Below are 27011 nucleotides of genomic sequence, written 5' to 3'. Positions count from 1 at the left end.
CTGGTTAGAGAGAATGTTAAGCAATTGTGTGAAACTCTGTGCTAAGCTGGCATATCTTCATATGTGAATACATGCCACATCCCATCTCTCTCAGCATGGGGAAATTGACTAACCTAGGTGTGCAAATGAAATCTTTGACAAAAACCTGCATGGGTTTCTGTACAGCCCTAATGATTAACATCTAACACCTAGAAAATTAGATACCCTGGAACTTTTTCAATTATAGTCAATAGATGCCAGTTATCATCCTTGTTTGAATCCAAATCCTTCTCAAGTTTTGGATGAGAAAGAAAGAAATGCATAGGGCCTGAGAGAGATTTACAAGTCTCTGAGAGTTTTGAGGGACTGAAGAAATTAAGGTAGAACATTTCAGAGTGGAAACTCCTGGTTTTGGGGGCAGCGGGATTTGTTTTGTTTTGTCTTATCTAAGATGTTAGTTCTCATTACCATTAGCTCACATCTGACCCATTTGAACCAGTTGACAAGACTAAAAAGCAGAAGTCCTATAACTTTTTATGATTGAAAGATCTTTATCTGATAAATTTTTAAGCAGTAGAATTAACCTAGTCTTTTGATCCTCTAAACAAGAAAGATGCATAATGTTTTATATTTTCCCTTTAGCCATCCAAATGCAAGAGCAGCCAAGCATTATATGTCTTAGACATATTATCTATCAGCTCTGCAAGATGTAGAGAGGACTCAGCATGTGCCATTCAGTAGGTGGCAGTTTGACCTAGAAAGTCATTCTTTCGTGAAAAAGGATATGATAGTCTCTTTTTAATGTTTATAGATTCAGGAATACTATCTACTATTAAAATAGCTTGTTTGTTGCAAAAGAATTTCTCACATTTAGCACAAATGGATCACTGAACCTGAAAAAGGATGAGAAAAGAAACATATGTCTGTGAACTAGAATATATGTGGCAGCAGAGTTTGACAGTTCTGCTGTATAAATATCAATATAAAATGCTAACCTATAAACAAATATTACAAATATAAAAGAAAGATACTTTCAGATTACAAATCATGCTCACTTTCAATAAAATTGCTCCTACAAAATACAGTGTAAAATAGGTCCCTTTATGAGTGACTTGTATTGACCCATGGGAACAACTTTATACTTGCATTCCATAATCAAGGGGAAAGAGTAATCATATTTCTATAGTTTGATGTTAGCAAGGGATATTTATTACCTGAATCTATCAACTGTCTATCTCAAAGCTTTTTCATTACGATCTGAAGAAGGGACCTTTCCTCTCAACCTCCACTCCCACATGGCATTGAGCTCTAAAAGAATCCAACACTTAGCCAGGCACAGTGGTGCACACCTCTAGTCCCAGCTACAGTGGGGGCTGAGGTGGGAGGATCATTTGAGGCCAGGAGTTCGAGTTTGTAGTGAGCTATGATTACATTTATAAATAGCCACTGGGCAACAGAGCAAGACTCTGTCTCTTAAAACAAACAAAAAAAAAATCCAAGGCTTTATGCAAGTGTATAAGGAAGAGGGTAAAGACATTAAGACATGAAGAAATGAAGAAGATGCATGGGTTAGGTATCATGGACCGAACAGAGCAGTGAATTACTAGGCATAAAAGAAAAAACAAAGACTAGAAATATAAGGCTTTTACATGGCAACCTGTCCTGAAGTATGAATCTATGCTTTGTGAAGTTATGAGATGGATTAAATGCAGTTGCGTTTTCATTACAATATCAAATAATTCTCAAATTCTACATTTGGCATTATCTGGATATTTTTCTCCCCAAACCAAAAGATAGTTTAATAAACAAAACACTGGTATCTCATAAAGGATAGACGTTTTAGAATCCGACATATCTGGGTTCAAATCCTACCATCACCACTTATAAACTATGTAATCTTGAGAAAGTTACTTTCCCTCTCTGAGTTTTAGTTTCCTTATCTGCAATATGAGAATAATATTTTTCTGTCAGTAGTGCTAGGTGCTTTAAATGAGTAAAATGTCTATCTTAGCACCCAGCATGTATAGGCACTCAATATATGGTTGCTATTGTGGAATTTGCTCTACTTAAATTTTTTTCAGCTATTGAGGAACGTGATCTATAATGTATATGATGAAGAAGAGGAAAATGTTCTCTTTTAGCTAAAATTACATTTGGCCTTTGTTAGTTGATGAGAAATCAGTGACAATGTCCACTTATTATCACACAGCCGTGCATCCGTAAAGAGTCACGTCATTCAGAAGTTGCAGCTGAAAAACTAAAAGACCTGTCTGGACCTTAGGCTATTTGCATAGTGAAATTCTGTTTTACTGGCTGTCACTGCAATCCTATGTACCCAAGAAGAAAAGAACCTTTCGAGTTGTCAATCCTAGGCAACCAGAAATAGTTAAATTAGCAGAAAAAATTACGAAAGCTAATGTGATCTCTTTCCTTGTTCATTGACTTCTCTGCATGAATGCCTACAGCGTGAGCATCAGGACTTGCCTTAGTTATGCCTTATTTAACTTGACCAACTGGGGGATGTTGTTGTGTCAGCCTGAATGAGAGCCCCTGGGGCTGTCAGAGTGAGCAAAGGAGTAGTAAGTTCCTAAGACTCCTTGGAACCCTGAGAAAGTCACCTATCAGTTCCCATCTTCCAGCGGGAGCACTTGGCACATTTTCCATCTGCTTCCTCGTTACTCCTCTCATAACATGCTGTGATCAAAGGAGGCTGTTTTTAAAAAAGGCCTGTAGATATGTAATGCTATCATTTTTGCACCGCTTTTTAGAAGAGTCACAGAAAAGTATGATTTAGAGTTGAGACAATGAAACTGTGTTATTCAGGCACAGGATATGAAAGCCATTAAGAGAGGGGAAACAAGGATCATCCCATTTTTCCTTTTAAACTAGGCAAAATTTGCTTCTTGATCATGATATGTATTTATTACTTAGCTAATGCAAGTTAGGTGTATAAAATCAAAGGGATACAATTTTGCAAGTGAAAAAAAGTTGCTTAACGTATATGTTTTTATTTTCAGGAAGGACTAAGGATGCTTATTTCAAGAGATCTAGATTGTACAAATACAATGTATGTCCAGTTTTCACTTAGATTTATAGCAAAAAGTAAGTATGAATTTATTATTTTCCTTCAAGAGAATTCTCCCCTGTGCAATTCCTTTTCCACAAAGAAATCACGGATTTAAGGCCCATAAGTTTTGTTGTATGGAAGGGCTAACATAAATTAGTATACATAAATGTTTGCAAATGTTTTTCTTTAATGTAAGTTTATCTTAATATAAGGGCAAGAAAACTACTGATTTTAAATAATTTCATATAGCTGTAATCATATTAGTTCTATGGTAGTTAAATTTATCATCATGTCCCTGAGTCTTTCCACCACTACTTTCTAACTAAAAGAAATTTAAATTTTAAAATGTTTAACTTATGAAAAACGTGGATTTTCTTTTACAGATGTGAATCCAAAAAAAGCCTATTCTTAGTCATTCTGGCTTTTCATATTAACTAAATAATTTTCCTGAACAAATTGATTGTAGATATAATACATATTCAAACAGTTTTTCTGTTTATATCCTGAGATTTAAATGTTTGACCCTTTGTAAAATCGTGATGCCTGTAGAATCAAAATGTTTTGATGTAATGTTTCCTAAATACAGAAAGATGCCTGTGCATATCTGAGAGAGAAAGGGAGGTATTATTGTGTGCAAATCCAAGCTTTGGTGTGTATTTCGAGATATACAGAAAGCCCAACCTGTCATCCCCTTAAGTTGCTTCTGAAGCATTTGGACTATAAAGCTTCCATGTAAACATAAGTTCTCTTATGCATTGATGCCTAAAGATTCAGCTAAGAACATACCATTTCCCCATTTTTATCACAGTATGTTTTATACCTGTGTTATCTTCTTCCTAGGTACCCCAGAGAGATCTCACTCTATTCTGTTACAATTCTCCATCAGTGGAGGAATCACTTGGCACCTGATGGATGAATTTTACTTTCCTCAAACAACGAATATACTTTTCATCAATGTTCCCTTGCCATACACTGCCCAAACCAATGCTACAAGATTCAGACTCTGGCAACCTTATAATAACGGTAAAAATGCATGTGTTCTCCTGTGATCAGAACTGATAGTGGCATGTTAACACATTTGTTTCTAAGGTGTGGAGGAAGTGTTTGTCAACTGAGCAGCTTAGCTGTCCACAGCACACACATTTTACATGCTTCACTTTTGACAAATGTATTAGTCCGTTTTCGTGCTCTTGATAAAGACAAACCCAGACTGGGAAGAAAAAGAGGTTTAATCGGACTTACACTTGCACATGGCCAGGGAGGCCTCAGAATCGTGGCGGGAGGCAAAAGGCATGTCTTACATGGCAGCAGCAAGAGAAAATAAGGAAGATGCAAAAGTGGAAACCCCTGATAAACCCATCAGATCTCATCAGACTTATTCACTGCCACAAGAACATTATGGAGGAAACTGCTCTCATGATTCAAATTATCTCCCACCTGGGTCCCTCCCACAATACATGGGAATTATGGGAGTACAATTCAAGATGAGATTTGGGTGGGGACACAGAGCCAAACCGTATCAACAAGTCTCAATAAATATTTAAATATTTAACATATATATATATATATACACGTATATATAATCTCTTCATATTTGACTAGTGGGTTCTCCTGTTAATGTAAATATAGCTGAATTCTGTTACAGAGCTAAAGATTTTTAAAAATAATCCAGCATTATCATTAGGCACTCATCAGTTGTAATGACATTTTTGTTGCATTTATTTGGGAATACATAGTTCTTCTGAGTGTGGCGTTTCATTAGTGAAATAGAATACTATAGCAAAATGCCATGACGAAGTGAGAGGGACTTAGACCAAGCAGATAGTGCCGTAGATAAAATATTCTTATCACATACACTTGCTTCAGTGATAAGTTAAAGTGAATGTATAATTTAATACATTTCAAATGGTTACAGAAAATGATTCTACAAATTGGTAATGTTTTATTGCTTTCTATATTTCTATTAACTGCTGATTATAAAGGACCAGACTTTACCAAGTCATGCATATAATCACCTAAATAAGCATGGAGATGCCACATTAAGCAGCAGATTCTTTGCAGAGGCAACACAAAAATGGAAAAGGCAAAGGTTCTTCCATCTCTAAAATTTAACCTATTTCCTTAACAATATGTTAAAACTAAAACATAAAACAAAATTTTTAATGTATTGTGAAACATATATGTATACATACATCTTGTCACTGAATAAAAGTCCAAAAAAGGAATGTGCCAGGCGCAGTGGCTCACAACTGTAATCCCAGCACTTTGGGAGGCCGAGGCAGGTGGATCACCTGAGGTCAGGAGTTCAAGACCAGCCTGGCCAACATGATGAAACCCCATCTCTACAAAAATACAAAAAAATTAGCTGGGCGTGGTGGCACACACCTGTAATCCCAGCTACTTGGGAGTCTGAGGCAGGAGAATCACTGAACTTGGGAGGCAGAGGTTGGAGTGAACCGAGATCATGACACTGCACTCCAGCCTGGGTGACGGAGGGATTGCTGTCTTCATACTATGTTTGGAGTGCTCACCTAATTATTTTTTCATTGATTCCACCAACCACTTTCTAAACAAGAAGAGGAAAGAATGCTACTAGAATTAGAACACTGATAGGATTAGAGATAGAGACCTGTGATTTCATTCAAAGCATCAGGTTTGTTCTACAGGCTCCTGTTTACAGATCCTTTTTTATGTTTTGTAAGAATTGCACTGAAGTAGAAATCAGTGAAGAAGCAACCTAGGGAATCTTGACGTTCCTGCTTGGCATGGACTTATCACCTTTTTTCAAGGTCAGTCCAAACAGTGCTTTACAAAAGCAGCCTGGCTTTTGCCGTTATTATCTACTCTAACATATTCCTTAAACACCTGGTCTAAATCACTGAATCAAATACTATAGCAGTATAAAGGGTGATTTCCCTAGTTTCCTATATATTCCCACAGTATCTCCAGATCAACATAGAAGATATGAAAAACATTAAGAAAACATGGAGTATTATTGATCATAGAATATTTTTCTTCTGTATTAAATAAACAAATAAATGCAATTACGTATCAGGGCATTATTTTAATGGCCATAGTCCTTCAGCCTGACTGAAGTATGGTGCTAAGCCATGGGTTGGCCCTAAAAAGCATGAATTGCTCCCTGAATAGACTGATTAGTGTTCCTCGGCTCTAAGTCCACTAACTGACCACTCATTCTCACAGACTGCATGTCTCACAGATTCCCCTAAACCACTAAAACACAACTCAAAACCCACTCTTGCCAGGGGAGGGTTCATAGCACTGCTATTATTTGAAGGACAGCATGCTTTCACATACATTATATACACAGCATTGTCACAGCTTTCTGAAATTAGCAAGGCAGTTCCATGGTATATCAATTTAATATGGTTGCAAGCTTAATTTTTTCACTTTTTTTTTTTTTTTTTTTGAGACAGCATCTTGCTCTGTTGCCCAGGCTGGAGTGCAGTGGCGTGATCTTGGCTCACTGCAACCTCCACCTCCCAGGCTCAACCATCCTCCCACCTCAGCCTCCTGAATAGCTGGGACTACAGGCATGCACCACCATGTCCAGCTAATTTTTTTGTTTATTTGTTTGCTTTTTTATAGAGACGAGGTTTTGCCATATTGCCCAGGCTTGGGCAATCTGCCCATCTTGGGCCCCCAAAGTGCTGGGATTACAGGCGTGAGCCACCGTGCCTGGCCAGTTTTAATCACTGACAATATACAAAGTACTGACAAGTACTTTATGTTTTTTTTTTCCCCCAGAAAGTATATGGGTTTGGCGGGGGGTGGTTTGTGTGGTTCTTTTTTGAGACATGGTCTTGCTCTGTTGCCCAGGCTGGAGTGCAGTGGCATGGTCACAGCTCACTGTAACCTCAAACTCCTGGACCCAAGCAGTCCTCCCACCTCAGCCTCCTGAGTAGCTGGGACTACAGGCATGCACAAACACACCTGGCTAATTTTTTTTATTTTTTGTAGAGATAGGCCCTTACTATGTTGCTCAGGCTGGTCTTGAACTCCTGGGCTCAAACAATCCTCCTGTAGAAGGCATATGTTTAACCTATTGTTACTGAGTTGCTTTTGTCCTTTGCTTTCTTTCAATGAGCAAAAGTGTTCATTTGATTTTCATCACTGGAAAAACTTGCTTTATCCAAAAATGCCTTAGGTAAGAAAGAAGAAATCTGGATTGTTGATGACTTCATTATCGATGGAAATAATGTAAACAACCCTGTGATGCTCTTGGATACATTTGATTTTGGGCCCAGAGAAGACAATTGGTTTTTCTATCCTGGTGGTAACATCGGTCTTTATTGTCCATATTCTTCAAAGGGGGCACCGTAAGTATTAAGAATCTAAAAATAAAACCACTGCTGTATACAAATCATGATGAACTTTTGCCTAAATGGATTCCTGGTTGTTTTCCTGTGTAACAGTGAAGAAGATTCAGCTATGGTGTTTGTTTCAAATGAAGTTGGTGAGCATTCCATTACCACCCGTGACCTAAATGTGAATGAGAACACCATCATACAATTTGAGGTACTTGACTTTGTTCTATAATAAATGCTTTAAATTTTATATTGAACAAAACCTAGGAAAGGGGAGGAAAATCTCAGATAATTTCATGCATTATGACCTCCCATTTTTGTGCAAGGATGTAAGAGATTTTGGCATCATAATTTTCTCTTATTAACAGAGCCAATTGTCATACTAAGGTTTATTTCTGAATTATTATCCTTTATGATGTAGTTTCCCCACCTGCTACAATGGGAAGTTGAAATAAATTATTTTAAACATTATAAAAATGAAAAGGCTCATACTATTCTTGTATTATATTTCCACACTTTTTATGTGAAACTTAAAATTTCTTAGGGACTAGGTCAATGTAACTATAGTCTATGCCATGCTAGGATATTTATTTATATAATATTTGTCATGATGTTATTAATTTTACAGATAATACTGTTTTATAATTTCAAATGTATTTGTGTATTTTATTAATATTTATGCACTCCTTTTATTTGTCAAGAGAGCAAATTAATAATTAACATAAAAATATTTATATATTTCAAAAACTTAGATAAAATCAGCAGAACCAAAGGTATATTATACCAGCGTTTTAGAATATTAACTTTTCAGAATATTTTTTTCATAGCTAATAAAAGATGACATCTTTAGCACCTTTAAGAGTTCTATTATCAGCCAGGCGTGGTGGCTTACACCTGTAATCCCAGGAGTTTGGGAGGCCAAGGCAGGCAGATCATGAGGTCAGGAGTTCAAGACCAGCCTAACCAACATGGTGAAACCCCGTCTCACTAAAAATACAAAAATTAGCCGGGCATGGTGGTGCGCACCTGTAATCTCAGTGACTTAGGAGGCTGAGGCAGGGGAATTGCTTGAACATGGGAGGTGGAGGTTGCAGTGAGCCGAGATTGTGCCACTACACTCCAGCCTGGGCACAAAGTGAGATTCCATCTCCAAAAAAAAAAAAAAAAAAAGAATTCAGGAAGAAACAAGTGCCTATATTCGAAAGTTTATCAAATGTCAATAGTTTACTCATCAGAAGTTAAAAGTTATGTAAGTTCACATATCTACACACACATAATATGTATAGTGTATATTTATTGTATATAACTATAACTATAGATGGTTATGTGTTACTGTGTATATCAATAAGTGGTTCCTATGCTTTGATGGCATGATAGTAAGAAAATGTTCATCTCAATTGGAGAGGGGAAATTTTTTATAGAAAGAATTGCGTGCATTTATATAATTTATTTTAATGCACTTGAAAGCATGGGAAAAGGAATGGAGTGGTTGTTTTCCTAATGGTTAAAAAGGTCTTTACATAAAGACAGAATACACTGGTGGATACCAGGGTGGGGAGGAGAAGGATGTGGGAAGAAGTAGGTGAGAGGAGACAAGCTTGCAGTTATGAAGGATGAGTACGTCTAGAGATCCAATGCACAGCATGAAGACCATAGTTAATAATATAATAATGTATGCTGAAAATGTGTTAATAGATTTTAGATGCTCTTACCACACACACACACACACACACCCACACACACACACAGAAGGTAACTATGGAAGGTGATAGATAGGTTAATTCACTTGGCCGTAGTAATTATTTCACTTTGTATATCATATCAAAACAGTATGGGTACACCTTAAGTATATATAAGTTTAAAAAAATCTTTCCCTGTGCCAGGGAAATGATGACAATGATTGTATTCTCTTTTGATATTGAATATTCATTGCAGATTCATGTGTAAAACTCTTAGGATTATTTGGAAGGTGTCATAAGAAGGAAAATAGAAGGTATCCTACCTAGATGGGGGGGAAGCTAACAGTTAGGATTAGGGAAACAGTCTTTTCACTGTGATTTACTTGGCTTGGCTAGGAAAATGGGCCAAAGGTAAAATTTGGAATTGTCCCAGCCTCTGCCTTACCCACTTCCTGCTTTTTATAAAATGAAGGGAAATAAATTTTTCATGAGGCCCTTTGAGGTTCTTTATGAAAAATTATAATTTCAAGGTAATATACAATATTACTCAGTAAGGCAAAACATAATTTTATAGTATTAAATATTTCAGCAAGACAGTTCCCAGGAAAATGGACCCTAGAAAATAATGAAGTGGTGAATCATTTCAAGGCTTGTTGCTCTGAGGTAATTTGTATCATTTTTTTCTTCATCCCCAAGATCAACGTTGGCTGTTCGACTGATAGCTCATCCGCGGATCCAGTGAGACTGGAATTTTCAAGGGACTTCGGGGCGACCTGGCACCTTCTGCTGCCCCTCTGCTACCACAGCAGCAGCCACGTCAGCTCTTTATGCTCCACCGAGCACCACCCCAGCAGCACCTACTACGCAGGAACCATGCAGGGCTGGAGGAGGGAGGTCGTGCACTTTGGGAAGCTGCACCTTTGTGGGTAAGGACCCGCTGCTTGACGCCACATTTGTTTCTCCTTTGACAGTTTATTCCTGAAGTCATCGTTCACTTGCCACTTTATCATGGGGAAATTTCCACCTGACGTTTCTTCCTCTGTTCTCAAGCAGATCAGTGGATATTTAAAATGTAGGACACGGAGCTGACATAACTACTAATTTCTAGTTGGAAGGTAGATTTGAACAGGACACCATGGGCTGCACCCTGTAGTGGGGTTCACATCCTTGTGAAATTCTGTTAGATCAATTAGAACACAACAAAAATAAGGTTTTCCACGCGTTCCTCCTGCCTACTCCCACCTGACAATATAAATGCAGCTAGAATATTATGACTTTCAAACACCTGCCTATGTCTGTCATGCAGGGAGAGTGTATATAGGGAGCATAGAAGCCCACAGAATATTCCTGGTGTCTCATTAAAAAAAAAAAAAAAAAAAGTTAGCACGTTGCCCCCAGGCATCTCTACTTTTCCAACCTCTCTCAGCATTCTTGTTACATTTATTTGACTCTTCTGCTGAAAAGCAACTTAGAGATAAAGGACTTCACCCCTAAGAGAAATGAAATGAAAAGTATATTTCAAAAAACAAAACTGATAATAAAAGTGAACAAAGAGAGGAAGTCAACAGAGCAGTCTGCCTCCAAATTTCTGTTTTTTCTTTCAGAATTAAGAATGTTTTCTTTCAGAGTATGTCAAAAAAGAAGAAAGTACTAATATCATACTTTCAAGATGGAAATAGATTTATATTCCTGCTGTGAAATGGAGCATAATTAGAAGTCTTGAGTCTTCAAACAAGACTACTAATACCTAGTACTTTTCCAAAAGGGTGAAAGTGAATTTTTTAAAGTCTGCATCTCTTTGAACATGAATCTATCCACTCCTCATTATATCATCAGCATAACTTTTATAAATTGATTGCTAAGGATTTTAATATTTTGGGTTGTTGAATATATAATTTACTAATTCTTGCGATTATGCCAGGATATGATTCTCATAGGAAATCCAACTATCTTTTTAAAAATAAGCATTACTAAGCAAAAAGTCCTCAAGAACTGATAGCCAGAGGAGGCAAAGAGTGTCTCTGGAGATCATAGGAATAGATGGAGCTGATGACACAGCCAGCAAAACCAGAAAGCTACCACTGGTTGTGGGGAGCTTGTCTTTAGAAGAATCTGGCAGGGGAAAATAATCCAGGAAAAAGTTTTTATTCGAAATGGTTGTATTATTTAAGATCATATGTTGCAAGAAATATAAAGAGGCTTACCAAAAAGGTGAAAGAACTTATTGGAAAGATACTGGGGAATGGCATGGACTTCACTCAGAAAGTGTGGGGGACTTAGCAACAGAAGTTTATGATCCTTGTTTTTATTGTGTTCACATTAACATCACTTGGCAAACCAGAGCTTTCATTTTCTGGAGCTCTTAATTCCAAATTTTCAAATCTGAACCTATCAGCTGTAGCCTGAAAGCCAAGTGTTCCAAGAGAAGCATAGCTGTCGAAAAACCATGCCTATGAGCAGGACAGGCAAGGGGAAAGGCCTAGATAGCTTAGGCACTGCTATGGCCTGAATTTTTGTTGAAATTCACATGTCTCAATTCATTCCCCTGAAGGTAATGGAATAAGGAGATGGGGCATTTTAGGGGGCAATTAGTTCATGAAAGTGGAGCCCTCATGATTGGCATCAGTGCCCTTATAAAAGAGACCCCAGTGGACTGCCTTGCCTCTTCCACCATGTGAGGACCCAGCAGGAAGGCAGCATCCATAAACCACAAAGTGAGTCCTCACCAGACACTGAGGTGCTGGCTCCTTTATCTTGGACTTCCCAGCTACTCCACAAGTGTGAGAAATAAATTTCTGTTATTTATAAGCCACCCGATTTATGGTATTTTGTTACAGCAGCCTGAATGGAGTAAGACAGGCTTCTAGATACAGAGCAGTCCACTGAACTCCCTTATGGTATTATGGACAAACACTAGGTTTTCTGTTTAATGGACCTCTAATTTCCTCCAATTATCCAGCTAAGAATTAAATAGAAAACGAACGACCCTAAAGATAGATTGTAGGTTACGATTTTAGATTGTTTTGCCAACTGAGACTTGCTTCAGCAAGTTCCCACTTGGAAATAATCCCATCTAAAGGCGTATGAAACAAGATGACAAAGACCTGCCAGTCAGAGGCACTGAGTGAAGATGTCCATGCCAGGGGAGTGCTCCAGCGTCACAGAGACCACCTCGCTCAGCATTGGTAATGCCCACTGTGCTGTGTTTCCACGTAAGGCAAGACAATATAATTTGGAAATCTGAACAAGAGACTTGCAGACATCTATATTTTCACCCACTGGTACAAAGCCACTTACAAAACACAATAATAGCGTACAGAACCTAGACTGTCACATTATTTGTATTCCATGTCATTTTTATTTCCATGAAAAGAAAGTAAATGTATCAAGGAGGCATGCATGCCTGTTCTCAGAATGGTATAAACCCACGTTTCAAACTGCCTTCAACCATTTCTGTGAAGAGAAAAATTTGCCTTAAGGGTGTTGTCTAGTCCTTGTTTCAGGAAAAGAATTAGCACTCTTCTTAAAACCCATGCAGGCATGAATGGCTGGAAGGCAAAAGTTAAATTTTCTCCAACTCAGTGAACCATCCCTTGGTTGGTATTCAACATGGTACATAGTAATGGCACAAGTGCTGGATGCTAAAAGCATATATATATACAAAAATCCATGTTTAAATTACTCTTTTCTTGCATTTATTGGACACGAAATACACACAAAAAGTGTATTAAATGTTCTCAGGTGCAAAATAGTCAAATTTTGTTCCTTCTACATATATAGTCCATTTACATTCAAAGAATAACTATGAGCTTTCATCTAATTTTATTCACATCACCTTGGTGTGCTTTTAGAGTCCTTTTGTCTTTAAAAGTTCCTGATTGTTTTTGCTGTATGCAGTTTCATAATGAGTCAACCAAAACCCCTATTTAATGAAAGCAATGTTGTGTGCTTGAAATTTTAAGTTTATGTTTAAAAAACAGATCCTTTTGAATACAACTGGCTTAGGAGAACAGATGCTGACATTCACCAAGGAGGGTGGCAGTGAGAAATTTTCAAAATAAGATTTCAGCAGAAGGGAACCACAGTGAAACCAGACCCTTCAGCCTATTTATCATAGTGCTTGCAGTTTCTGTGTCAAGGCAAGTGAACAATAATAAATATCCAACTAAGGTGGTTCATTTGTATTCAGAACATTTGAATAAATAAGAAGTTCAAAAAAAATCCTTGTAGGCTTTTGTTCAAAGGAAAACTCCAGCCATTTCCCTCAGCTCAGCAGTCTGAAAGTTCAAAAGGTAAGAAGTGCTTCTTGCCAAGACTAAACTCTGACAAGTATTTGAAAATAAAGTTTAATTATGGACTGGCATTTTGGGGGCAGCTTGATATAGTTGGAGTTTGGGACTGGACATGGTGACTCACGCCTGTAATCCCAGCACTTTGAGAGGCCAAGGTGGGCGGATCACTTGAGGTCAGGACTTTGAGAGCAGCCTGGCCAACATGATGAAACCCTATCTCTATTAAAAATACAAAAATTAGCCAGGCGTGGTGGCGGGCGCCTGTAATCCCAGCTACTCTGGAGGCTGAGGCAGAAGAATTGCTTGAACCCTGGAGGTGGAGGTTGCAGTGAGCCAAGATCGTGCCACTGCACTCAAGCCTGGGCGACAAGAGCAAGATGGAACAATGAAATTAGGGTTAAATATATGTAGGAACTTGAATCTGTCGCTTTACTATCCACTAAATTTTAGAAGCCTAACAAATGTATTTTTCCCCCACTACCCATCCTTAATCCTGGTATTTAACTTCTAATTTCTGTTTCTCAAACAGAAAACTATTCAGAATTTAGTTTCTATGATAATTGAAAATTGGGAAGATTCACAGGGCACAAAAATAAGTGCACATGTCATCTCTGCATCCTGCCATTCTAAAATAAATCTGTCTTCTTTGAACTGAGTTTTACACATGATAAAATACATTAAAACATTTCTGGACAGCTACCTAAATATGTAGATTATTTCTAAGGAGCTAACTTATCAGCAACATGATAGGACAATTCAAAAGGAAAATTATTTTTGACTTAAAAAGAAGTTAAGAAATAAGAGAATCTAAAAATACATCAGATTCTGCCACTTTTTCTCTTAAAAAATAATCTTTTTGGGCTCTCTGTTTCTGATGAGATAAAATCCAAAAAACCTTAGTTTGGCTCATAAGGACTTTCACAACAAATTACATGCCACAAACATTTACTGAGCATCTACTATGTGTGAACACTATATGGGTGCCTTAAAAAGGTACAAAAAAAGAAAGAGACATGGACATTGGCCTCTATGAGCTCACAGCCAATAGAGGAAATAGACACACTTTTAAGTAACTCCAGCTGGGATAACTATAATAATGGAAATTCCATCAAAATTATGGAAGAGAAAGTAAGATAGAAAAATTTAAAAGATTGTCATTTACCATAAGGTCCATCAATTTCACTACCCTTCTACCCAAAAGAATTGAAAACATGTATTTAAGCAATTACCTGTACACAGATATTTATAGCATTACTATTCACAGTAGCCAAAAAATGGAAACAACCAAATGTCCATCAACTAATGAATGGGTAAACAAAGCTAGTATATCCATACAATGGAATACTGTTCAGTCACAAAAGCCATGAAGTTCTGATACTTGCTACACCATGAATGAACCTTGAAAACATTATGCTGTTATGCTAAGTGAATGAAGCCAGACACAAAAGGTCACATATTCTATCTTTCCATTTATATGAAATATCCAGAATACGTCAGTCCATAGAGACAGAAATGATTGGTGGTTGTCAGTTGTCAGGGAGGGAGAGATGGGGAAAACTGTTCAGTGGGCATGGGGTTTCCTTTTGGGGTGATAAAAATGTCTTGAAACTAGAAAGAGGTGATGGTTGGACAACACTATGAATGTGGTAAATGCCACTGATGTGTACACTTTAAATGGTTAATGCTTAATCTTATGTTGTGTGAATTTTACCTCAGTTTTTTTAAAAAAGGTTAGTTATACAGAGTGTATTAAATAGACAGAAGGGGCCGGGTGCGGTGGCTCACGCTTGTAATCCCAGCACTTTGGGAGGCTGATGTGGGCGGATCGCCTGAGGTCAGGAGTTCAAGACCAGCCTGGCCAAGATGGTGAAACCCCATCTCTACTAAAAATACAAAAATTAGCCAGGTGTGGTGGTGGGCACGCCCAGCCACTCAGGAGGCTGAGGCAGGAGAATCGCTTGAACCCGGGAGATGGAGGTTGCAGTGAGCCAAGATTGTGCCACTGCACTCCAGCCTGGGGGACAGAGTGAGACTCTGTCTCAAAAAAAAAAATAAAACAAAATAGTAAGGATGGAGAAGTCTTCACCAAGGAAGTCAATATTGAAAAAGATGGGAAGATCAAGTGAAACATTGACATTCTGATAGGATCAGGAAAAGCTTACAAGAAACAAGAACTTTATTGGCAAAATCCTGGAGATTGAGGAATGGAGTTTTGTTCCTGAAATGGCAAATGTTTTCTATTTCTTGGGTGTTGAGCATAGGTAGAAGCTGCCCATTGTTCATTGATCAGATGTGCATACTTTGAAGGTATATTGTTCTGTTGATTAGCTTTTGAAAGACTTGTCCTCTTTTCCAGATCTGTCCGTTTCAGATGGTACCAGGGATTTTACCCTGCCGGCTCTCAGCCAGTGACATGGGCCATTGATAATGTCTACATCGGTCCCCAGTGTGAGGAGATGTGTAATGGACAGGGGAGCTGTATCAATGGAACCAAATGTATATGTGACCCTGGCTACTCAGGTCCAACCTGTAAAATAAGCACCAAAAATCCTGATTTTCTCAAAGATGATTTCGAAGGTAGTCTTTTCTTACAAATTCTATGTAGTCTTGTGAAAGAACTTATATGTTAAACACAATTTTTGGTAGATAACTAATCATTAAGTTTAATTCTAATATCTCATTATTATTTCAATTGTGAACATCCAAGAATTCATTTAGTTCTGAATTTATAGGGTTCCATTTTGGAAACAATGGTCAGTGAGTGAAATACTGATACATGCTACAAGACCTTTATTGAGAAAAACTAAGGCTGTGTTCACAACTTTTTCTACCACATGTAATTTCTGCCTAATGACAATTTTAGAATATATCTATAGAGACTTAATCTTGGATGGAAGGGTTTCCAGAAATATAAATTCCTGTTACTGCTTTACCACAAACTGCTTAAATAGCCTCTCATCACTTTCTATAGTTTAGTTTTACACCTAGAATTCAGTATCATTATGTGTGAAGACAATGTTACAACATAGTAAAATGCATGTAATGTAATGATTAGAAAAAAGCATTTAAATTATATATGCACTTTGATCAAACTGTGGAAAAACACCTCCATAAAAGAAAGTCTTAAGTATAATAGCCATCTATATTAGGGTAGTGGGATTAAAAGATTTTCTTTCGGCCTGGTGCAGTGGCTCATGCCTGTAATCCCAGCACCTTGGGAGGCTGAGGCAGGTGGATCACGAGGTCGGGAATTCGAGACCAGCCTGGCCAACGTGGTGAAACCCCATCTCTACTAAAAATACAAAAAAGCCGGGCACGCTGGCAGGCACTTGTAATCCCAGCTACTCGGGAGGTGATTCGCTTGAACCTGAGAGGCGGAGTTTGCAGTGAGCCGAGATCACACCACTGCACTCTAGCCTGGGCGACAGAGCGAGACTCCATCTCAAAAAAAAAAAAAAAAAAAAAAAAAAAAAAAAAAAAGATTTTCTTTCTTTTTGCTCAGTTTTTGTAAACTTGTTCTATTTATGGTTTTACAATACATTTTAAAACTAGATCTAAGTATATCCATACAGTGGAACATTACTCAGCCATAAAAAGGAATGAAATACTGATACATGCTACAACATAGATGAAACTCAAAAACATGCTAAATGAAAGAAGCCAGACACAAAAGGCCACATATTATGTCAATCTGTCTTTATGAAATATTCAGAATAAGTAAATTCATAAAGACAGAAAGCAGATTATCATTTGCCAGCGTTGGAGGAGGGGAAAGTGAGGGGACAGTGACAGTTTAACAGGCACAGGGTTTCCTTTCGGGCTCATGAAAAAGTTCTGGAACTAGGTAGTAGTGATGGCTGCACAACAGAGTGTATCAACTAAATGCCAGTGAATTGTTTACTTTGACGTGGTTAAAATGGTAAATCTTATGTGATGTGTATTTTACCACAATGAAAAAATAAATAAACGAAATCGGAGTATCTGAACAGATTTAAGAGCTGGTTTTTAAAGACAGTATTTTATTTTATATTTTATTTTATTTTATTTATTTTTTGAGATGGAGTTTTGCTCTTTCACCCAGGCCGGAGTGAAGTGGCACAATCTTCGGCTAACTGCCACCTCCGCCTCCCGGGTTCAAGTAATTCTCCTGCCTCAGCCTCCCAAGTAGCCAAGATGACAGGCACCTGCCACCACACCTAGCTAATTTTTGTATTTTTAGTAGAGACAGGGTTTTGTCATGTTGGCCGGGCTGGTCTCGAACTCCTGACCTCAGGTGATCCACCTGCCTCGGCCTCCCAAAGTGCTGTGATTACAGGTGTGAGCCACCGCACCCAGCCTTAAAGGCGTTATTTAATAGGCAATAATAAATGGTATTGAAATTTCTCCCACTAAACTGTTTTTTTAAATATTTTGTTGTCCCTGCCTGATACTATCCTTACATTAGAGAGGACACAGTAGAGAGGCTGGTGGAAAGGCTACACAGCCCCCACCTTCCTGATGGCCTGAACTACTCTCTGACTAACCAGTGTCCTTTTTTTCAGTGTGAACAAGCCGAAAGGAGGGATCCATCTAGCTGGACCATAGATACTCAAGAAAATACCCCCTCCTCCTATCACAAGAATCTTTAAATTATTCCAGCCAAGGCTAAACAATTCAAACAAGCTGAAATGTTGAAAAGGCCTCTTATCCTAAAACATGACTTTAATATTTATGACTTCATATTTTGAAACTACATAATGCATTTACCATACTCCTTTTAAAAATATAATACAACTCACTATAGTTGGGGTCATAGGTAAACCATATTTTCCAATTTTTTCAGGTCAGCTAGAATCTGATAGATTCTTATTAATGAGTGGTGGGAAACCATCTCGAAAGTGTGGAATCCTTTCTAGTGGAAACAACCTCTTTTTCAATGAAGATGGCTTGCGCATGTTGATGACACGAGACCTGGATTTATCACATGCTAGGTAATCATTTTTAGATGCTGTTGAAAAAAACCACATCGTAATGTATAATAGCAGAACATAATCAAATCAGAAGGAAGCAGAGCGATTTCAAGGACAAGGCCTTCCATTGTAAATACTGAACTTCTCTCTTTATCAAAGCTTTCAGGAAGACACAAGTTACATAATTTCTATTCTAAAATTGAAAGAGATTATTCAATAACTTAATCAGAAAGGAAACATACCTAAACAGGCAAAAATTAACATCTGGTATTTTATAAGACTGAGATTAGGAAGTAACAATGTTTAATTTACTTTAACTTCAATAAAATATTGTGTCTTCTTTATCTTTCTGTATAACATACTTTTCATTAGCACTTGCGCTATGTAGAAATTATTTACACTTATACCATGCTTAGTAGAAAGCTTAGTTGAAATGCAGTATATCTTCAAATTATTCATAATTAATTTTATCTCCGCCAGCAATTTAAGTTAAAAACATTTGAAGGGCAGCCTTATTCTTTATAAGCATCTTTCCAATGATTCACTCACACATTCTAAGCAGTCATTTTCTAAATTGAACACAGTCACTCAGAAACAAACATTTTAAACTGGCTCAGAGGATTATGTCCTGTCAAGATGTGTATCCCTTGATCATTTGATGGGCCGAAAACTTAACAAGGAAGATAAAAAAGATGGTTTAACATGTGTAAAATGGAACCCTGACCTAATTTTGCAAGTGAACAAAGAAACCATGTTTTTGTCTTTTGAGATATTTCAGAGTATCTTAGAATACATCTTAACATTTTTACCCCTTCTTTTTCCCAAATACTTCATTTATTGATCATAAATTTGATCACACTTCATAGAAAATACAGTTCTGTGAAATAATTACACAGTTATAAAAACAATATTTTATCATTATCCCACTTTAATGCATATAGTTTAATTTGATGTTCCTTATTTCAGATTTTTATTAGCAGCTGAGTTCTCTAATTTAGAAATTATTAGGTGTTCCCAAATAAGTAATTGTCTCATGGTTTATCTATCACTAAGTTAATATAAAGATTTTCTCAATACAAGTAGACAATATACTAAAAGTATTTCTCTGTAAATGATTGTTGTTTTTACAAATGTAAACGTCACTAGACCCAACCATGTATGTTTTCATTACTCCAATGTTAAAAGCTCCATTATTTAGCTCATCTCAGTAGCATGCTGTGTAGGATTTGCATATATTGACCTGAATATGCTCCATGTAAAATCCCAATTTTTTCAGGGTCATGAGATAAATGAATGGGGTGGGGAAGGGAACTCATGAGGAATGAATGGTTTTACATATGGTACTGATAATATTTTTATTATACATCTTAATATATTTCCTATGTCCGGCATGCATACATTAGTGGGTATGTGTGTTGGGTTACACATGAAATTTATTCTGCATTACCAGCTAGCATCGTGGCCAGACCAGAAAGCAGCAGCTTGCCTGCCAAAGATAACATGTGAGCTAGTTTTCATTGGCACCCCAGCTGGTTGCTGCCACTCTGTCCACCTCCCTGCCAGCTGGGAACGCTGCCACTGGCCGGCTGCCACCATTCTCAGTGGCCAGTATCATCCATCCCCAGACCCAGCAACAGTCAGAGCCTGGCACAGCCACCACCACCACCACCCCACACTCATGGTCCCTGCCCCAGCACAAAAGAGAGAAAAGAGGCCCAGGCTTGACATACCTCTTCCAAAAGATGCCTGGCCTTTCACAAAGAGGTGCTACAACTGGTGAATTTAAATGTGCCTCCCAAAGCCAATAATATGAGATCTGAAAAACGACTGGTGAAACCTTAGAAGAAATAATCTGCCAGTTATATGGCATACACTACATTAATTACATTCTTCCCGTTTCAAACTTTCAGTTTCAGAGTTTAAGGAGTTACACTTATCTTAAATAGATGACAACACACACTCCCACACTCAAACCGCCTTTAGATCCCTCCCATCTTTTTATAGAAGAGCCAAAGGGTGTGGGGAACACTCAGGTCCCTCAGGCTCTCCTCTGAGGAGAGTCACTAGACACAAATATGGGTGCAGAATTGCCTTTTTTCAGACTTCACATTTAATTAACTCCCTTTCTGATTAAAAAGGGAAATCAGACTTTGAAGTGATTGCTTTGGACACTCATTAAATCGCCATATTTATTGAGGCCTTTCGTTCCCCTGCATTACCCCATGTGCTTGTCTGTTGTTAAGCATGTGGATTTCTTTTGGAAGTGAAAGTCTTCAGTAACGTTTACAAATGTCAGATTTGTGCAGTTCTTCATGAGACTGGGATGTGGTAAAGGCGTTCCTGACCCCAGGAGTCAACCCGTGCTCCTACAGTATTCTCTCAACGGTGGCCTCTCGTGGAGTCTTCTTCAGGAGTTCCTTTTCAGCAATTCCAGCAATGTGGGCAGGTACATTGCCCTGGAGATACCCTTGAAAGCCCGTTCTGGTTCTACTCGCCTTCGCTGGTGGCAACCGTCTGAGAATGGGCACTTCTACAGCCCCTGGGTTATCGATCAGGTCAGTCCCTTCAGGATTAACTATTTTAATTGTCGTCACTTGAGCTGAATGTGGCCTTAGAAGGCATTTAGTTCAACCTGCTTGCTCAGTAGATGAAACCCAGAACTGACAGTTGAGTGACTTGCCCAAGGGCACGCAGCTAGATTAGATATGGCATTTAGCTTCCTTTCATTCTCTATTCCTTCAGTTGCCTAAGCTTATAAAAATAAACAACATAACAGAAGGACTAGGTCCTGCTCATAGAGGATTCTGCCATATGGATAGAGGGACTTTATCAAGCGTGATACAAGGTTATAATTCTCTGAAAAGGAAAATGTGCAAATTAGCATTGGTGCCACATGCAGTAGTTCCCAAATCCTCTTTCTTGCCTTTGAAGAAAAAAATAAATCAATCTCCCCCACATCCTTATAGACTGCTCCAAAGGATCTTTATACATAATAAGATGTATATCAAATAGAACTCAAAGAACCTGTTAACAAACCGTAGAGTTCATGCAAAGAATTGGAACTGAAATGCCTTAGGGTACAACTGTCCTTAAATAGAAATTTTACATGGAAAATAATCACACATAAGCCAAATTTTGCTTCCCAGCTTGGGTACATGTCGTTTGCAAAGGCACAGTTTGGCCAATGTAGGCTGTGAATGGTTTTGTCAATCCTTTGATTTGTTTTGTGTAGTTTCTTGCCAGATGGGCAAGCAGACATAAACAAGAGCATTCTGAAAGGCCCCTCACATTCTGCTGGCCGTCCAGTGCCAGTTCTGAGCAGGCCAACAGATCAAAACAAACAAACAAACAAACGAAAAAGGCAGAACTTTCCATTTCTTAAAACTAAATGGAAAATTTGGGATTTTTTAAAAATACATTTCAGATTCTTATTGGAGGAAATATTTCTGGTAATACGGTCTTGGAAGATGATTTCACAACCCTTGATAGTAGGAAATGGCTGCTTCACCCAGGAGGCACCAAGATGCCCGTGTGTGGCTCTACTGGTGATGCCCTGGTCTTCATTGAAAAGGCCAGCACCCGTTACGTGGTCAGCACAGACGTTGCCGTGAATGAGGATTCCTTCCTACAGATAGACTTCGCTGCCTCCTGCTCAGTCACAGACTCTTGTTATGGTGAGTATGCCGTCTCCAGATAGAGGGACAGGCATGTGGGCATGAGCTTCTGTGGCTGCCTCTGTCATAGGACTACTCTGCCTCTCTGATAGGTCTGTAAATAAAACACAAGTGCACTTTGAGTCAAACCACACTGTACTCTTGAAAATACTGCATGTATTAAAAAACTGAGTTTTAAAAGTTGATTTTTGAAAGCAATAGAATGTGAGCTTATTTTTTAAGCATATGTACGTGAAGACTTATTTTATACAGTAAATAACCTAAACAGTAATAATTTGTAAATCCAGGTTTTATAGTATTAGACTCGCAGAATAAAGGATACACTTGCAGTATTTTTCCAGTAAGGACTCTCATCACATAGAGAATGCCAGGAATAAGCAATATGATTTATTCATATATACAGGGCTTATTAATATATATATTCACAGATTTAAATTCTTGGGGCATTAGATGAAACCAGTTATTGTCTCCTCTCTATATCCCCCCAAATGATGACATTTTGTTGTTCCCATTTTGCCTATATTTTTTGCCACCGTGGATCATAGCACATTCCAGGCCACCCTCATTGTGACCAATTTGCACCCCCTAGAATGAGTATGTGCATGTGTACACTCACACATACCATGCACTCACACAGACCCATCGTAGGAGAGATAAAAGCTGGCATCATTGCACACTTGGACTCTCTACCTGAACTTACAGACCTGTCAGGATTCTGGGTCTCCTGGTCTTTCACATCCCCATATAACTCTTCTTCCAACAGACAAAAACTAGAATGTTCACAAGGTCCCCGTTCAGTTTTAGATTCTGGGTAGAGGGGAGGCAGAAATTTGAGGAATTTGGTTATTTTCAAGGTCCTACAGAATTCACAATTTTTAATATTCTCATTAGTCTGAACGTAATAGACATACTTTAGGAGGAATGCCAGAGATACTCTTTCTACCTCAGACACAGTCAGTCAAGATTAGATTAGTCAGTGGGGATGGAACTTGGAAAAGAGAAGACAGAAAAGTAGAAGGTGCACACCCTGTCTTCAGTAGATACAGACTACCTGATGGGATACCTCAAAGAAAGTCCAGTAAATCAAGTGTTCCACGGAGTAGTGCTGATACAAAATGTAATGAGAACTCAAAGGAGCAAGAGATGACCAATGGTTGGCCAATCTAAGAAGTTAGGGAACATTTCACAAAGGAGCTAAGTCTTAAGTGGACCTTGATGCTTGAAGTAGATTTTAAGGGTGGATGGAAAAGAAAGGGCCCCCAAACTAGGCTGTAAGCAGAAGCAAAGAAGCTGACGTGGGGTTCTCCTAAAACTGAGAGCAGACCAGCCTCAACAGGTCTTGGTCTGCATCTAGTGGAGAAGAGTACAGTGTGGTGATTTTGAAAACAGTCTAGACTCTTACTCCCTTCTTCACATAGAAAGTAGAGGAGAGCCCAAAGAAGTAAGTTATCACATGGTCAACCTGCAGCACAGCACCAGGACTAAAATTTTGCCCTCGTAAGCCCAGTCACTTGTACTTTCTATACAGGCTGGTGCAGCCTCCTGAGAAAGGTTAAAATGAATGATAATATGAAAGAGGAAAGTGGCTGAGTGGAGTTGGCAACAAATTAAGAAGGGCCTTAAGAAGCAGGCATGGGGATTTGTGCTTGGTAAGGTCATGAACAAGAGAGTACAAGTGCAGAGGGGTGACATGATGTATTTCACGAAGATTAGCTCCAGAGCCAATGAAGGTGGGTACAGAAGAATTCCAGTAAAGAAACCACAGTGGTCACCTCTGTAGGAAGCAATGTAGAGTTGCACTATGTGGCATGAAGAGACATGGAATAGATAAAATTGATATGAGATAATGCAAAAAAAATCAGCAGATCTCAGGACTGAGTTGAACATAGAGGGTAAAGGAGACAGAAAAGTAAAATTTCTAAAATAACTTCTAAATTGTGTTTTTTCTTAACAACCTCTGATACCAAAGGCTAAAGTAACTTCTAAATTTTGGACCCAGAAAACCAGTGTAAAAGTATTGCTATTGATAAAATGTGGTAGTTAAGAGGAAATGTTTGTTAATGAGGGAAAATGGTGAGTTTTTCTTAATTCAAGTGAAAGGACTTCTAAGTGAAGATATCCTTTAGTGAAGATGACATACAGTATAGAAAGCTGGAACTGTGTCTATACTGCTCATCACAGCGCACCCAGCATCCAGCACGTGCCAGGCTCCGTAGACACAACTCTATTTTGAGATGTAAAACCAGGAAATTTGGGGCACAGAGGTGATCACTGAATCAAGAGTGTACTTGTAGAATAGATGGCCAGAAACAGGGTCTGGAAGAATGCCCATAGCTGGGCAAACTTGCAAAGGAGTCAGAATAAAAGACAGGAGACTCAGAATGATGTCCCTCAAAATAAAAGAACATTTCAAGAATCAGGGAGTAATCAATAATGTCCAATGCTGTTAGGAGGCAAGCACAATGAAGACTGAGACCAGGCCATTGTATTTACCTAGAAACCTTAGGGCAGTGTGTGGTCTCACACTGGCTGCACGGGAGAATCACCTGGGAAGCTTTAAAGCTCCTGACGCCTTGGCCATGCCCCAAAAGAGTTCAATCAGAATCTCTGGTAGGGAGACTCAGGAATCAGTCATTTCTAAAGGTATCCAGGTGATTTCAGTGTGCAGCCAAGACTGAGAACCACAGCCTTAGAGAAAGCAATTTCGGAAGGGAGGTAGGGACGTAGGCAGCTTATAAAGTGAATAGGGAGAGAGAAATAAAAGACAGGGGGTATGGGTTGAATGTTCCAGAAGAAGAAAAGGAAAGAAATAAATATCTTTCTTTAGACCCACAACCTGATGGCATGCATTGGCACATATTCCGTGGCCTTCAACTCCCTCCTTAAACCCCTTGGATTTCCATATTTTATATATATTCTATAACACAGCAGAGCAAGATATATAAGCAGAAGAGAGTTTACAATTTCTAAGAAGTTTCACCCATACCAGGGTCAAAATTGACATTAGTTGGTCAGGATTCCTATAAAATGGTCAAAATTGGAGAAGTCTGCTCAATTTATTAACAGTTTGAACACTAATTATTAAAATATATAATATGTTCCTTATTTGTATGTTAACCATTAAATAAACAAACTATATTAATTTTTAAGTATTATACTATATTAAATGATATACCATTTAAATGATGTTTGTGATATATAGTCTATCACTATAATATTAAATTACAAATATATCTTACCAATTATATGCAGTTACTCAAATAATGTAACTGTATGTGAAGCAGTACTTTTGTCATGATGATTGTTCCAAAAGCTTCTCATTATAAGATGTGATTCACAAACATTTACTTTATGTTTCACTTGATCATATCCCCTTAAAAGTTATTTCAACATGGAAATTTAAAAATAATAGCTAGTAATATACAGAGAGAAAAATTAAACTAGGAAGCATTTCAAAGCAGGAAATATAAGTGTAGGGAAAAAATCAAACTGACATTTGAATGAAACTAAAACATACACAAATGTGATAAACAATTATGGTTCCTGGGTCTGCAGATATGTGTTTATATCCAAAATAATGTTTCCTGTTTCAGCGATTGAATTGGAATACTCAGTAGATCTTGGATTGTCATGGCACCCATTGGTAAGGGACTGTCTGCCTACCAATGTGGAATGCAGTCGCTATCATCTGCAACGGATCCTGGTGTCAGACACTTTCAACAAGTGGACTAGAATCACTCTGCCTCTCCCTCCTTATACCAGGTAAGAATGCTTCTACATGTTCACCACATGCTTCTACGTATAGTGAGCCCAAATGTGATAACATTTGGCATGTCAAGTTTAATGAGATATGTGAGGGTTTTGTTAATTGCTAATGGTATTGCCATGTATGAATTATTAAGGCTGTCTTAATGAGTAAAATAGAAACCAGTTTTTATCATGGCATTATTCCATGTTTTCCCAAAAGCCAGGCCTTTACTGACTTTTAACTCTAATATTTTTAAAGAATGAACTACAAAAGAAAACAGTGGCTGCATCACTTGGCTTCTCCAACTTAATTCAGAGATGCCCAGACAAGTCGTTTAAAATAGGCCCATTGGATACAGAATAGACTGAAACAGAGTCTGTTTTCTGCTAGTGAGACTGCTGTAAATATAGGAGTGAGTGATGTCCTATAAATGAATGTAGCAAATAAATGTACCTTTAAATTATGTCTGCTTTTAAAATTTTATTATGGACATTATCTTGAGAATTATCACCTGAAGCATTATTTTATGTGAAAAACCTTTCATTCTTGTCTCTATGGAAAGGGATCAGGGCTTAATAAAATTGCCTGGTACGGAAGGATCACTTGAGACTAGGAGTTCAAGACTAGCCTGGGAAACAACAGCGAGACCCCATCTCTACAAAAAAAATTAAAAAATTAGCCAGGCATGGTGGTACCTACCTGCAGTCCCAGCCACTCAGGAGGCTGTGGCAGGAGGATCACTAGAGCCCAGGAGTTTGAGAATGCAGTGAGCTATGATCATGCCACTGCACTCCAGCTTGGGTGTCAGAGCCAGACCCTGTCTCAAAAAAAAAAATTAAAAATTAAAGTAAATAAAATTGCCTAGTAAATTCTGATAAAGAAGTTAAATCTAAATTATCTGTGCATTTCCACTCCTGTTTGAGTAAAGCAGAGAATTAGCTTTGCCTAGTGGAATAGTGTTACATGACACTCTCTCTTTCACCATCTAAACTAGGTGCTAATTATAGGAAAGCTTTAACATCTTGATAGAAACTCCTATTTCCTCCAAGAAAATGGTTTTCAGTTGCTGCATTAAGAAAGAAGCAAAGCAACCAATCCAGTGTGTGGAACAGGAGTTATAGTTTGGGCTTATTATTGTTTTGTCATCTTCCCACAAATGAAGAATGAATAAATTTTCCTAGCAAATGACCATAAAATTCAACCATTCATCTAGGGCATAACTTTTCTTAGGATTATCATAAATGGGATGGTTTCAGTTAGTAACAGCCTAGGGCTGCTTTACAATTGCTGGCTCA

General features: G+C 38.1%; 1 protein-coding gene and 1 long non-coding RNA gene across 3 annotated transcripts in view, besides 1 other annotated feature; one reads left to right on the top strand and one right to left on the bottom strand.

Annotated features, from left to right (window-relative positions):
• Window positions 1-27011, top strand: part of RELN (reelin) — a 517870-nt gene that overhangs the window by 428613 nt on the left and 62246 nt on the right. For both annotated transcript variants that reach the window (NM_173054.3, NM_005045.4), the window contains exons 37-46: window positions 2997-3081; window positions 3887-4069; window positions 7215-7386; window positions 7483-7585; window positions 9750-9979; window positions 15702-15922; window positions 18168-18315; window positions 20591-20849; window positions 21719-21968; window positions 25562-25730. In NM_173054.3, coding sequence (NP_774959.1) covers window positions 2997-3081; window positions 3887-4069; window positions 7215-7386; window positions 7483-7585; window positions 9750-9979; window positions 15702-15922; window positions 18168-18315; window positions 20591-20849; window positions 21719-21968; window positions 25562-25730 — 1820 coding nt within the window. The remainder of the gene's footprint in view (window positions 1-2996; window positions 3082-3886; window positions 4070-7214; window positions 7387-7482; window positions 7586-9749; window positions 9980-15701; window positions 15923-18167; window positions 18316-20590; window positions 20850-21718; window positions 21969-25561; window positions 25731-27011) is intronic.
• Window positions 19730-20024: a silencer, noted in NCBI's record as "tiled region #15155; HepG2 Repressive non-DNase unmatched - State 23:Low, and K562 Repressive non-DNase unmatched - State 7:EnhWF". NCBI's record gives its function as "represses a minimal TATA promoter and a strong SV40 promoter by Sharpr-MPRA in HepG2 and K562 cells {active_cell/tissue: HepG2 | K562}" and the evidence as "EXISTENCE:reporter gene assay evidence [ECO:0000049][PMID:27701403]".
• LOC105375435 (uncharacterized) lies at window positions 21953-26456 on the bottom strand. The gene is made up of 3 exons (XR_001745315.2): window positions 26416-26456; window positions 22673-22775; window positions 21953-22062 (listed from the first exon to the last, which is right to left on the bottom strand). It is a non-coding gene; the product is annotated as an uncharacterized LOC105375435 (long non-coding RNA).

The sequence above is a fragment of the Homo sapiens genome, chromosome 7, assembly GCF_000001405.40.
Source record: "Homo sapiens chromosome 7, GRCh38.p14 Primary Assembly".
Lineage (NCBI taxonomy): Eukaryota > Metazoa > Chordata > Mammalia > Primates > Hominidae > Homo > Homo sapiens.
The sequence above is the reverse complement of the archived record's forward strand: the minus strand, read 5'-3'. Positions and strand labels throughout refer to the sequence as shown.